Source organism: Homo sapiens, chromosome 11, assembly GCF_000001405.40.
Source record: "Homo sapiens chromosome 11, GRCh38.p14 Primary Assembly".
Taxonomy (NCBI): Eukaryota; Metazoa; Chordata; class Mammalia; order Primates; family Hominidae; genus Homo; species Homo sapiens.
In genome coordinates, this window is record NC_000011.10 from 115191036 (window position 1) to 115204679 (window position 13644).

Genomic DNA, 13644 nt, shown 5'->3' on the forward strand with positions numbered 1-13644 from the left:
GCCAAATCTCTTGCTATCTATGTTTTTGATAGCATGAATGTATTAATCCATAAGTACATTTCTTCAATTATGTAATTTTGTTCTTAATACGCAATCGAGGCAGAAAGATTCCTCAGTCTCCACTGTTCAAAGGACATGAAACATGAAGGTGAATGCTTAAAATCACTCATTCGTAACAGCATGCAAAAAGAAAATCAATAAAGCCTGATTGTTAGCTGTCGATGCTCTGATATCTCTTAAATAAAAATGTATTTAGATGTTACATACTGATGTATGTACATTTTATTTCGCATTTTACTGTAAATTGAAATCCGCTGCCAATACTGACAAACACAGTTCATTATCAATTTATGATGATCTTGGATCACATATTTCAAAATGGTACAGCATCTGCTAACTGCAGATTGCAGGTTATGCCTTCATCAGAAAATCTGATTCGCAAAATGATTTTTTTAAAAAAGAGAATTTCATAAATCAATGGTATTCCTGAAAAATAAAACCCTCAAAGCTGAAAAAGCAGTTAGGTCAGGAGGTAATCAAATCGGGGCTTGAAATGCCTATATCCGAGTCAATTCCAATGCTGGCCAGCTGAGATGCTTCTCAGCTAGCTCTGATTTGAATTAAAAGGGGTGAAGAGGGAAGTAGATAAACAATGGGAGGCTCAGATAGGAGATGGTTTCCATTTCCTTTTGCTTTATTTGTGAGCTGATCCTTTAATGAAGTTTATTTAATAACACAAAATGTTAGACATTCAATGTGGCTTTACTTGTTCTTTGCTGTTCTGCTCAAAGTCCAGTGTGACTAACTGCTTAGGTCTTTTAAGTTGCACAGCAGTTTGCTCATACTTCTCTAGTCAGATTTGTCCCTTTTGAAGATGTCTGTAGACCTAATAAACTGCAAGGTCTTTGGAGAAGCAAGTTGTGTTTATTTTTGCATCTTTCCCTTCTGCTACAGCCAACCCACAAAGTGTATTCTCAGTGAGTATTTGTTGAATTAATAATTTGGGAATAATGCCCAATCAGAGCATAAAAGCAACCAAAACAAATGCTTTTGAAACAAGTAATGTCAAACTGATCACTATTTTTAAAGGCCCAAATGAACCACAACAGTCATGTGCAAATGATCACTGAAGCCTGCATTTTGTAAGTTGCTTTATAGAGAAACCAAACGAACATTGATAGCCAGGTCAATTCTGTGAAAGACGGCTGTCACACCATCAACCCTTGAGGAAGAAGAACTTCCATCATGACCCTTGGGTGCTAATAGTTAACAGCAGGTGCTGATTAAAAATGGGAAGATTTTGAGCCCACAGGTATTCCCAAACTATAGATTTAGGCAACTAAAGGGAAAGCAGTGAGCAATGCAATCAATTATAGAGGCAACTGAGTAGAGATGATATCCATTTGTTCTGAAATCTGATTGGTTGACAATATTCCTATTTCTAATTGGCTTATACATTGTATAAAGACTGATGAATACAATTATTTAAATAACTGTTATAAATAGGCAACATAAAGTACTCCTTTGTAGTTAATTATAAATTTGCAGTTCTCAGAAGGCTAATCTCTCACTTCTACCTGGCCCAACAAATATCAAAGCGTCCTACATATGTGCTTGGTGCCCACTGAACCACATTAAACAAGGATGTTTCAAGTAGGTAGCTTTACTGCTGAAGGCTTATTTCCTCGGGGAGGGCATTAGAAAGCTAATTAAAAAACCCAAAAAGACAAATATGTTTATGAAATATCATTGATATGCAAAGGTTTCCATTAAAAGCAACAGACAGTTGATATACACCTCATTAAAGTGGAAACTGTCATTTTTAATGGCATAAACTTTAAAATATATCAAGTTATCTGGAATCTACTGCTCGGATTACGTTCTAAAGCAGGAAGCCATTTAGGCTACTGGCATTAAATTTGTTTTTGTAGCACTATTATATTGTGTGAACCTACAATACTCTGCCATAGTTGGACAATTTCTGAATAAATATAATTCAAAAGAATTTACTGAAGCACTGGGTGTGCAAGTGGGGACGAGCAAAATTTATCTCCTAAAACTGATTTGGCTTAGGTATTTTTCTTTCATGTTAAAAATTATACACTTTTCATTTTCTCAAAGAAAAAGACAAAGACGTATTTTATGAAGCAGAGAACATTCTTCAAAAGGAGACTTCACTCTAACAATAAGTGGGAAATTACTTCTTGTGTATTCTCTTGAAACTTTCATATCATCCATTAAGGCCTCTTTCTAGTCACTGCTAATTAAAATGTATTCAACATATGTCTTTAAACTTTGTTAAACAAATGAAAGTTTACTTTTTGTCCATATGGGATTATTTTTGAGCAATTAATAAAGTCCTAAAGATGCAAACATGGTAATTTAATATATGCATGATAGCCATCTCTTCTGCAGAGATGAGTATTTAACTTTTTCATGGTGCTACAATGTGCTATAACATACCCTAAGCCCGCTCAGGTAATGCTTTTGCCGTTGTGATTCTTCCTTTTCAACAGTAATTGCTGGCTTCTAAAAGTGATACAATGTGGCCATTTAAAACCAGGGTAAGAAAAACCTCAAAAAATTAGAAACAGTAAGAAATTCTAGAGATATTAAATCAATTCAAGGTCAAATACGATTTAAATGCTTATGGGCTCAGTTTTTCAGGGTATCATTTTTTTTTTCCAGAAAATTTTGAAATAGAATGATCGAATAAAACCTCCAGAAAACAAAAACTTAGCCCACCGGCCCTAGTACCATTCCCATTATGAAAAACAAAGTAGGCGATGGTCTCTCTCTTACCTAAGCAGCATACATCTGATCACTTGGCCATATTATGGAAACTCTTACTTCCACCACCAGCCATGAGTTCAGACGCCCCCGGGAGTTTTAATCTAAAAACTCAGTCATCCTGTTCTTCCTGCTTTGTCAGCTTTTGTGGAGAGTTTTCCCTTCTTCCCATTAGCAGAAATTTGGTTCACGCCGTTAGACAGTAGCACATTGTTTCCAAACTGCATATCAAGGCTGAAACACAATCTTCAGGTCCTGCAGCCATTCGTAAACCTCTTGAGCTTTGCTCTTGTGTAGAACGTACAATGTCTGCAGAGTCCCGTGACTGAATGACAGCCTTTGAATGCCATTGTTATGTGCTCATACAGAGAGATGTACATAGAGGCACATACACAGATGGTGGACATAGCGGTTGTAGTAATGCGCACTGCTGGCTATGTTTCTTTAAAATGGGCTTAAGAATTTCCCCACAACTGAATATAAAGTATAATAAGAAAATTGTACGTGCTTTTAGAATTTGACCATGGTTTGCATTATTTATAAACGAGTCAGGAAAAGGAAGAGCTACAGGGGCAGTTTTCTAAGGGCTGTGCTCGTAGGGTACGAGCATGTAGCTAGCACAGGCCAAACATTCTGAAACCAAAACTGAAAATGAGAAATTATTCTTCAGAGGGGTTTCCAGTTTGCGTCTTACCACAATTGCATACTGAATTAAGAACAATTTAAAAACTCATTGGGGATATGAAAATTCATGAGATCATCAGCCTCTACTGTATTAAGAGGTGAAAAAGCAAGAGGACAGGTAGACTTGAAAATAATAAAATGGAGAGGGGAGAGAAGGGGCACAGAGAGAAAGAGAGAGAGACGGAGACAGAGAGACCTCAAACCCAGAGGAAGCCAGCTGACTGCAGTGCAGCAAAAGCACAAGCACTATTCCAGACCATGGGCATGCTGTCACCCGACCCCTCACATTGGGGAGGAGGGTGGGGAAGGGGAGAGGGGACACACAGGGCAGAAGGAACAAGGCACAAGACACAGAAGCGCCCACATATGAACAAACGAAAACCATCACACGCACCCACACATCAAGAACATAATGACTACACCATCCGTGCGTTAAATCACTCATGCATTTCTCAGACCATGTGGTATCAGGATTTGGCAGAGTGTTTTTTGCATTGCTCAACATGCACACATAACACAGGATTCTTCCTGTCCAGGCCTTAAGGATGAGCTCCAAAAACACAAATGCTCAAGATCCTTATTCAAAGAAGATCCCTTGTGTCAGCCTAGTCTAAAAATCCCATTCTTAACACTCACATTTATCTTTACTATCAGTTAAATCCTTAAAAGCACATTGTGGCTGATTGTTGTTTGGCTTTCTTTTTGGAGAAAATCCACTTGATTTTGAATCATGCCCATGCACTTCTAACCTTCCAATACATGCTTATTCCAATCAGATATTGGTAAGAACAAATGGTCAACATACATAAACAACTGGTATAAACTTCATACATACTCTAGCAAAACAAGCTTGAATAAAATATTTTAATGAGTCTTCAAAGGGAAAGCTTTAAAAATTTTTATTTTTTCTTTTCCTTTTTATAAAAACACAGAAATATAGAAGGAAATCCAGTATGAAAACTTTTAAGACCAAATAAGATGCCCATAGCTGATTGACTTAATGTCTTGTCATTTAAGTTGCTAAGTTATCAAACCTTTCAACATTTCTAGGCCCAGATCACCACAACAAACATCTCGAGATTATTCTCAAATGAATCTAAGTCAAATGGTTGCTGTAATGAAGAAGTTGGGTTTTCAGCTACAATTCATTAGAATAAAATCAGTTCTGTATCATCATCTCTTTGGAAATCTCAGATGTTGCTTTGTAATTTCCACCACGTTCTATTACCTTTTCTATCCTGACAACTGACCTGGAAGTTTTTCCCCGACATCAAGCAAAATTTTAGATATTATCTGGCTTTCATTACAGCTTCTTTGCTGTGGGTTAAAGAGTATGCTCTTTAAAACAGTGGCTGGAGCCCTTTGTGAAGATGCTACGAGGATTTTGGACAAGGTAAAGAATGTATTTATAAGTGTATTATACAGGGATCAGCCTAGATTATCTATCACTTTTCTATCCCTCTGCCATTAAGAAGTCAAATTCCAAGTATATATATACAAAATACAATAAATCCCTTGGCTCTAGGTGTATTCTTCATGCACTGCTAGTCAATAACATCCTACTGAGGTTTCACCAACTTGAACATCGTCTCCAAACTAATAGGAAGGCAGTTGCTTCTCACAGTACACAAACACCTCTATTACCTGCCACAGAAATGCTATAAAGTCCCATTCCAAGTGTCTCTTCCTTATACCACAAAAAGAGATCACCTTCTCTTTCTCTCTCTCCAGGGAAAGACCCGATTAAAACTAGTACTCTAAAATCAGGATCAGCCTGTAAGTTAACTTCTTATTTTTCAGATTAGGGGACAAATTTCCTACTTCGAATAGCCTATCCAACTCTGAGACCTACATCCACTAGAGTCACACTAAGAACATGAATTTTATTGAAGGGACCTAGAAAATAGAATTCTGGAGCTTTAGGAGACAAATGGTCAATATTTCTTCAAGGATCTCACAGAATTTAGGAATTGTATGGTTACATTATATCAGGGGTGTCCAATCTTTTAGCTTCCCTGGACCACATTGGAAGAAGAATTGTCTTGGGCCACACATTAAATACACTAACAATGATAGCTGATGAACTAAAAAAAAAAAAAAAAAAAAAAAAATCACAAAACAATCTCACACTGTTTTAAGAAAGTTTATGAATTTGTGTTGGGCCGCATTCAAAGCCGTCCTGGGCCGCAGGTAGCCCATAGGCTATGGGTTGGATGAGCTTGCATTTTACCTTGTAGTTAATTACAGTAAGCTCAAAACTTAAAGTATCTTAAAAAGAAACTTAAGTATCTTAAAAAGAATAGAATAAAATCTCTCTAACTACATTAAAATAACCCTTTGAGAATAATAGATAAAAGTCAGGAGGTGCTCAATTAATGATGAAATCTACAAATAACTGAGCTTAATGGACTGCAATGCCTGAGATGTAGCAAGCACTATGGGGCATTACCTTAGAAAGTGGAAGTTTTATACCTAATTGATTTCTCATGACTGTCAGCACACCTAGCCCCTTTAAGTTATTTTATGAACTTTTCCCTTTGCACCAATGACCAGAAAGGGCAGAAAGAAATAGGAATGGGGTGGGGAAGGATATATTGCTCAGTACCCAAGTTCGTTTTGCTTTCTCAGAATTCGTCATAGGAAAGTCAAAAGATGGGGTGACCTGCCAAGCATCAAGGCCTGACCTTCAAGGACAGCTCCTACAGAGCTCAGAGATTTTCCAACTGGTGAGTTATCAAATGTAGGTCTCTAAGTGAGTCAGTCTGTGCCAGGAAATGTTTCTCTAAAAGTTGAATTAACATGGCAGGGTTGGCTGATCACCTCTTGTCATTTAAATGATAGATTTCCACCCTGTACAACAACAGGCAAAGCGATTAAAGTAGGCCCTTTACCAAATAATTCCCTTGGATTCAATTATTAAAATTCAGCCCAGTTTTAAACATATCTTTTCTAAGCAGTCTTGTCAGGGCTAGATTTGAGCTAAGTAATAAAGTAATATACAGATGAAACATGATTCTCATTTTCTGATTGGAGAGACATAGAAAAGTTAATAGACTTATTCCAATCCAGTAAGTCATTGGTGAGATGGGGAAAAAGAGATCATATTTCCTGATGCCCCTCCTGAGCTTTGACTCACCCAGTTTTTATCACTTTGTGGTTAAAAACGTATTACTATTTTACCTGCAAGCCACACACACACCAGTAACTTATTTAAAGTCCCAGTTAATGCTGATAAAATTGACACATGGTATCATTCTTGGTTTGGAGGAGTTTTCTGCCAAATGTGAGCATAAAGTTATATGAACACATAGAGATTAGGAGTGAACCAGTGAGGGGTGGTGGGGTACATATGATTAGCAACATAATTAAAGTCATGACCTTTCTAAAGAAGAACAATGACCTTCCTCATCAGAAGCTCACGATTTTAAACAGGAATCTTCTTCCCTGGTCTACCCTTCCATCTCAACTTTACTAAGTGACACAAATGACTCCTCTTCAAGATTTACCTGGGACTATGGCCTATATATAAACAAAGCAACTGGGCCTTTAATTCAGATGTTACAATTTTCCTGCGAATACTCGTTTGTTTGAAGCCCCATGTATTTCAAGGTTTGGTGGAGTTTTGTAAGGAGGACTCTGTGCCACTGAAACTCCTACAATTCCAGCCACCCAGTGGGGAGAAGGTCTCATCTCAGCTTGCATCCATTGGGTACTGAACTCACAACAGAAATGACAAGACTCGACATCTTTTCAAACCTTAAAAAATTATAGTATATTTATGAGGTCAGTCTACTTGAAACATGATTTCCCTTGAAGACTACATTTCTCTTTTTCCCAGGCTTGCCTTGCCTCTCAGCAGTGCTGAGAAAGTAGATAAACAGTAATGTGATACCAACCGTGAACTGCTGGTTCTGTCGTCGCCGTTGTGTCTACAGACGGGAACAGAGGATTGGAGGAAGGGAAGAAACAGGAGGAACGGCATGCAAAAAAAGGGAAAATGGAAAAAAAATGGAACAGATAATATATGAGCAAGCTTTCAAAGAACATCGCGTGACAAGCAATAATAAATGAAAAGCAAAAAGCATTTGAAGTGAGTTGCACTGTTTTAAGACATGCCTTGAGCTCAAAGCTGCGAGCCAGTGAGGAAAACAGTAAATTCTTTGGTTCTGGGGGTCTTGCCAGGACACATATATTTGCTAGTCAATAGTCAGGTGGACATGCAAAGTGATGAGAAACACCAGTGCAAACTCAGTGGCTGGTAGATGGCTCTTAAAGCATCAAGGCTCAGGACTGCGACAGAAAAGCTCAGTCGAAAGGCTGGTTAAACAATGGATTCATAACATTCAAACATTGCCTTTGTTTTAACCCAACCCACCCGGGCACTTGGGCTTCTTGACTGCCAATTAGGCATCACTGACTCAATCACACTTTTAGGATCCTTTTACTGCTTATGCTCAGATGCCTGTAGATGAATAGACAGGTTTAAGTTTTCCATCCAGTGTATTATTTCAGCATAGTTTAGCCAGAAAGTTCAATTAACTGGGAGGCCATGGCAATGAACATGTTCAAGGTTTTCACAGATTAGTTTCTATACACACACACACACAAACACACACATCCATTCTTCACTCTAAAGCTCTTCATGTTAAAATCCAAGAGCAGAAGCCTTTAATGAAAACACCCAAGTTCACACAATCTGCCAAACGCTGCTTCTAATCATATGACATTCCAAAAATTTAAGTATCCAGCCATCCTTTCGCTCACAATTCAGAACCACGTTCACCATTCTGAGGGGCTGGGAGTCCTGCTTTCATGGCTGGAGTAGGAGAGAGTGCAGTTTTTTGTTTTTGTTTTTTTCTTTTTCCATTGCTAGATGAACTTGCTGTGGAAGGAAATGTATTTTGTCTTTTTCTTCTTCTATTTCTGATGCTGTTCAAGTTTTCTCCTTCTTCTACCAGGCTTCTAAGCCAAGCTTGCTGTACTTGCTCCTGTTCACAAGAAATTCCTCCAAGGAGCTCAAGGAATTTTCTCTTTATTTTTGGCTACAGGGGAAGTGGAATAAATATCTAACAAAATGCAGGGTGACATTCTTTTTCCAGAGTCATTTTATCACCACTCTTCTAGTCAACCTCATTCCAATGTCAACCCATCTGGCCATACTTTCATTTTGAGTTCTAAACTTCCCAGGCACATTCCTTCTACGACTCATTGCTGGCAAAAAGAAATGGTGAAACTGAGACAGGAGTTAGTTATCTCTAGTCAAATGGTGGTGGTTGAAGTAAGATTCTGGGTTAAACTGCAAGCAAGCAGTTCACTGTCCTTTTGTAGAATGCAGCTATTTAGCTGGCAATTGCTTTCATGAGCTGTGGAGACGCCAAAAGACTTTCTGATTCAACACAGGCAATGTTTAAATGCACTGGAACTTCATATGAAGCTTTTTTGGGGGGCAAATGAGCCTGGTGCTTCTGATGTATAAATGTGACACATGAATTCACACCGGCATTCCCCTTCAGTTGGCATGCTTTCCAGAGGATCCTATACCATCAAAAATTAGATCCCTTCTAAGGAGCCAGAATTAACCAGAAGTCTGAAAGGCCAATGCAGCTTAATATTACTGATAGCTTAGTTTCTGATGAATAGATGAAGGAAAGAGAAACATACAATATACCGCATAAGAACAAAATACTTACAAGTCAAGTCTGTGTGCATAAAATAGCAGTAAAAAACAATAAACTGTACAGTTGAAACACACTCTGTCACAGATTCTCCTGACACAGATGACACATTTCCTTAGTTGAAACATCCAAGTGCAGCATTAGGTACTTTAAATTTGAGGGGCAGGATCAAATGCCCATTTGTACAGAAACATTTATATGCATGTTAATACATTTTATAGATAGGCATCGGCTCCTTTCCAAAATTACAAAAAAGCAATCAACACTCTGGCTCATTATTTTTGTAGTAGCTCTTCTAATGTGCTTTCTTTTCTTTTCTTTTTTTTTTGAGATGGAGTTTCGCTCTTGTTGCCCAGGCTGGAGAGCAACGGCGTGATCTTGGCTCACCGCAACCTCTGGTTCCTGCATTCAAGCGATTCTCCTGCCTCAGCCTCCCGAGTAGCTGGGATTACTGGCATGTGCCACCACGCCTGGCTAATTTTGTATTTTTAGTGGAGACGGGGCTTCCCCATGTTGGTCAGGCTGGTCTCAAACTCCAGACCTCAGGTGATCCACTGCCTTGGCCTCCCAAAGTGCTGGGATTACAGGCGTGAGGCACCGTGCCCGGCATAAGCTTTATTTTCACCAGGTAAATACTTAAGTACAAATGATAGAAGGGCGGGGGGTGGAGTAAGACCTAAGGGTTAGAGTCATCAAAAATAATATCAGCATTAACCAGTGACCCCAATTTACTGTCTTCCTACATCACAACATCATGTCAGCTTTAAGATGAAATTAAACCAAGTGAAGCTAGGCGTCTGCTCCTAGGTGAGTACTAGAAAATAAATGAAGGAAAATCCACAGTGCATCTTGCTTCCCCGTTCTGGGGATGGGAAATCCATCAACTGCACCCAAAAGGGGAGGAAAGGGGGATGTTGAGAAGAAAAAACACATTCTAAAATGGTTAACAGCAAACACATGTTCAAGTCACACACACGATTACTGCAGCTGGAAATGGCAAAACCCGGAGCAGCAACGGGGTAGGAGACTGCAGGAGAAACACAGGCTGGCTACAAAGTTCAGAGCAAGATTGATGGTGTGTCTGGGGAGTCACTGACTCCATTTCTCTAAGAGCATCTGGTATGCTACTTGAACAGAGGTTATTTTCAAGTAAAGAATTAAGAAAACATTCTTTAGAAGTAACTTTGTGCTCCCTGCAGGAGACCACGATGACAGAATCTAATTCTCCTTCATAATTGCGTTATGACTTCATGCAGAAACCACAGACACCCTGGCTCTGAAGTGAGTGCAACTCTGTGAGGCAGGATTTATTAGGGTATCTTAATCAGAAAACTGGAGAAATGTGCAAACACACCCTGTGAATCAACTTGTGTGGTGACCATATTGTTGGGTAACATTCTAAGCGTAGAGGCAAAATGCAAATACTAAATTTCAATGTAAGTGATAAATGCTATAATCAGCTTGAAAAATGAAAATGTCTAATTGCCCTAACAAAGCCTTTTTAAAACCTCATCTTGCTGCTGCCTTAAAAAAAAAAAATCTTTGAGCTAGCCCATGAGAAAAACAGGTCACAAAAAATTGAGCTGGACTTATGGTGGTGTTGGGTTATATAGACATTTAAAAGGCCTAGCTGAGCTACTGTCTCTTAATTTTAATTACAAAGAGAGCAAATTTATTATACATTTATATTATATGGCCAAGAAAAAACAATCCCATCTTCTTGAAAACCCATTAAGTGTGTACGGTCTTAACAGTCACTCTCTGGCTATTTTATGAGTACAGTCAAACAAGGTATCCAAAGAAGGGCCCAGCAATATTATTTGAAAGATGCACATTCTACTCAAAATTGACTTCTCTTCTTAGTCTCCTAGTCCTACAGTTTATCAGACCCCATCTTGAATAAATGAAACATCACATACATTTATTGTGGCAGTATATTTACAAAATAAAAAAAGCTCTGACAATGTGTGAAATTAGAGACACTAGCAATTTAACTAAGTAGCAAAAAAAAAAAATAATACTGCAGGAGAGGCAGCTGGGCAATATTTAGTTGAAACAGTCATGTGTAAGCTCCACTGTGGCACATTCTAATCCTTTCATATGGATTCTCTCCAACTTAGAATTGTTCATTGAGTGTGACAGACTGGGGGTTTAAAACTAATCCATAAATTGGTCCATGTTCTCAAACACAACGGGTGCCATAAATGAAAATGAAAATCCTAGAACAAAATTAAATTTACAACCTTAAATATTTTTTCCCCCAATTGATCTGCGGTGCTCCTGCTTTACAATGCGCAGACTGCAAGCCTGCATTTTAGGGTGTGTTTGAGTAAGGTGTACATTAAAAAAATGCACGGTGTGATAACCCACAATCTACTCAAAACCAGAGCTTAATTGTAAAAAATTTAAATTCTCTCATTTTTGATTGTCATAAGCCTAAATGAAAGCATACTAAGCAGTTAGACATATTTTAATACACTTTCTCCCAGTTTATTTTCTTAACTAAAGTCAATAAGAAGCCAATGGGTTTTCTTAATTGAATTCCCCTTCAGTTTGTGTTATGGAGGTGCTTTAAATCTAGACACTAGGGCAGGCAAGGAATTCCCCTGACAATTTTATTTTCATAGTTGTGCTGTGCTGGCCAATATATATTAAATATATGGTGGGTTTTTTTTTTTTCTTCTCTTTCATGTTATTTGAACTCGATCGAAAACAAAAATAACTGCTGGAAAATTAAACTCTGGAATTTATTTTCTCCTGGTTTCCTGGCTAATTTTCTTTCCATCTATGTTATGTTTTAATCAAACTCCCCTGTCTTAGGGATGGGAGAAGTGGATAGGAACAGAATGAAAACTAAAAGGCCAAAATAGGAGAGACAGGATAAAGCTCTCTTCCTTGTTAAAGTCACCTCCCCTGTGAGTGAAGAGATTGTGTGCTACAGAACAGCAGCAACGGGGGATGATTTTTTTTTTTGGATAAGCAATTTCAAGTTTTGTTAAAAGCTTCTTCAGAATTGTTCACTAGTGCTGTTGTGCCCCTGAGATCTTTTCATTTGCAAACCAGATGTTCTGCAAAATAATAGGAATCTGTATAGTGGTTTCATTTAACAAGAAAAACAATTCCTATATCATGTTGTGTGTGAATGCTCAGTGGAAGGGGGTACAGAAAAGAGGAAGGCAGAGGGGAGGGAAGGAAAAGAAGAGGATGTTGCCACGAGGGTAGTGATGGAGACAGGAAAGAGGCTCTCTGTAAGTTGTAGCACATTTTTAAGTCTTGGCAAATTTTGTGTTAGATATGGGAGGGCTGGGTCCTTCCAGTCAAGTCTTTTATTTTTCACTACCAAGATAGCTGTAAACATCACTTTTTAATTCTGGGAAACCTGTATTCACAGTATTATTTGTTTGCATTGTTGATTAGGTCTTTAGTATGAAAACATGTCATATCTTTATCTCCAAGATTATTTTTAAAATAAAGAGCATAAAGTTATTGAAATTATGATAGAGGCATTAAAAACTTTTCCACTAGCATCACATTTCTCATTCATTTTTTAAAAAATATGGGGTCAGGTGGCCTCCATCACTGTAGTATTCAAGTCTTTTCTCATTCCCTCCTAAATCAATATAGGTCAAAAGCTGGTTAGCTATGTTGTTATTTGTAACAGGTTTACAATTATCAGGAAAAAAAAATGTAGACACTTAAGACAGTATGAAGAAAAATGGACACATACTTTTTGGAGTAAAAACTTGAAAAGGTGGCTTATTATGTAAAAGGTGGCTCATGAGTATTTACTAGTGCCCCCAAAATATTCTTGTCACTAGGTATACTGGCATATCAATAACACTTGATGAATATTCCATAAATGCTGAATGAAAAATAATCTTAATGAAGTAGATGTCAACTCTAGAGAAAAAGGCAATTTAGTAAACATTCTAGGATGAAGATGTGTATCTCCTAGCAAGAGTGGCCTAATCTATGCCTGAAACATAAATACATGCAAAATAAACACACATTGAAGATAGATGCTTGAAGTAACATTGGACCTTCATGTGTAACTTCCAAAATGCCATCCTTTCTTATCCACATTTTGTCCCTTCTTTGATGGCACAGACCAAAGTCCACTGTGACACTCTCCTCAGCATCTGCGGCACCTTCTGCCTGTGCCACCGAATCACCCCAATTGTACAGTATCTCTTATTGGGTTCCAATGTGTGTAACCTGTTCTCGCAACCACATGATAAGGGGTTTAGGGAGTATTTTGTCTCCATAAGCACTAGCATCGTGCTGTACATATTATGGGCACTCAATATTTGTTGAGTGCATAACTAAAAGCAGACCAGCTCTTGAACCATGCAAATATCAATAGCAAAGAGTAGGAATCATTAGGCTAAGACCCTGGGGAATAGCCAGCTGTATTTGGAGGAAAGCTCTCTATCATCATTTAGATGGTCATGACATAGATTCAGTCTTAAGGACAGGTGTGCTTCTTTGCTTTGTA

The 13644-nt window shown here is 38.1% G+C and overlaps 1 protein-coding gene across 13 annotated transcripts in view; it reads right to left on the reverse strand.

Annotated features, from left to right (window-relative positions):
• Positions 1-13644, reverse strand: part of CADM1 (cell adhesion molecule 1) — a 335180-nt gene that overhangs the window by 21800 nt on the left and 299736 nt on the right. For 9 of the 13 annotated variants that reach the window (XM_005271494.4, NM_001301045.2, NM_001301044.2 and 6 more), the window contains one exon: positions 7371-7403. The exons of the other annotated variants lie outside the window; for them this stretch is intronic. In XM_005271494.4, coding sequence (XP_005271551.1) covers positions 7371-7403 — 33 coding nt within the window. The remainder of the gene's footprint in view (positions 1-7370; positions 7404-13644) is intronic. 13 annotated transcript variants of the gene reach the window in all.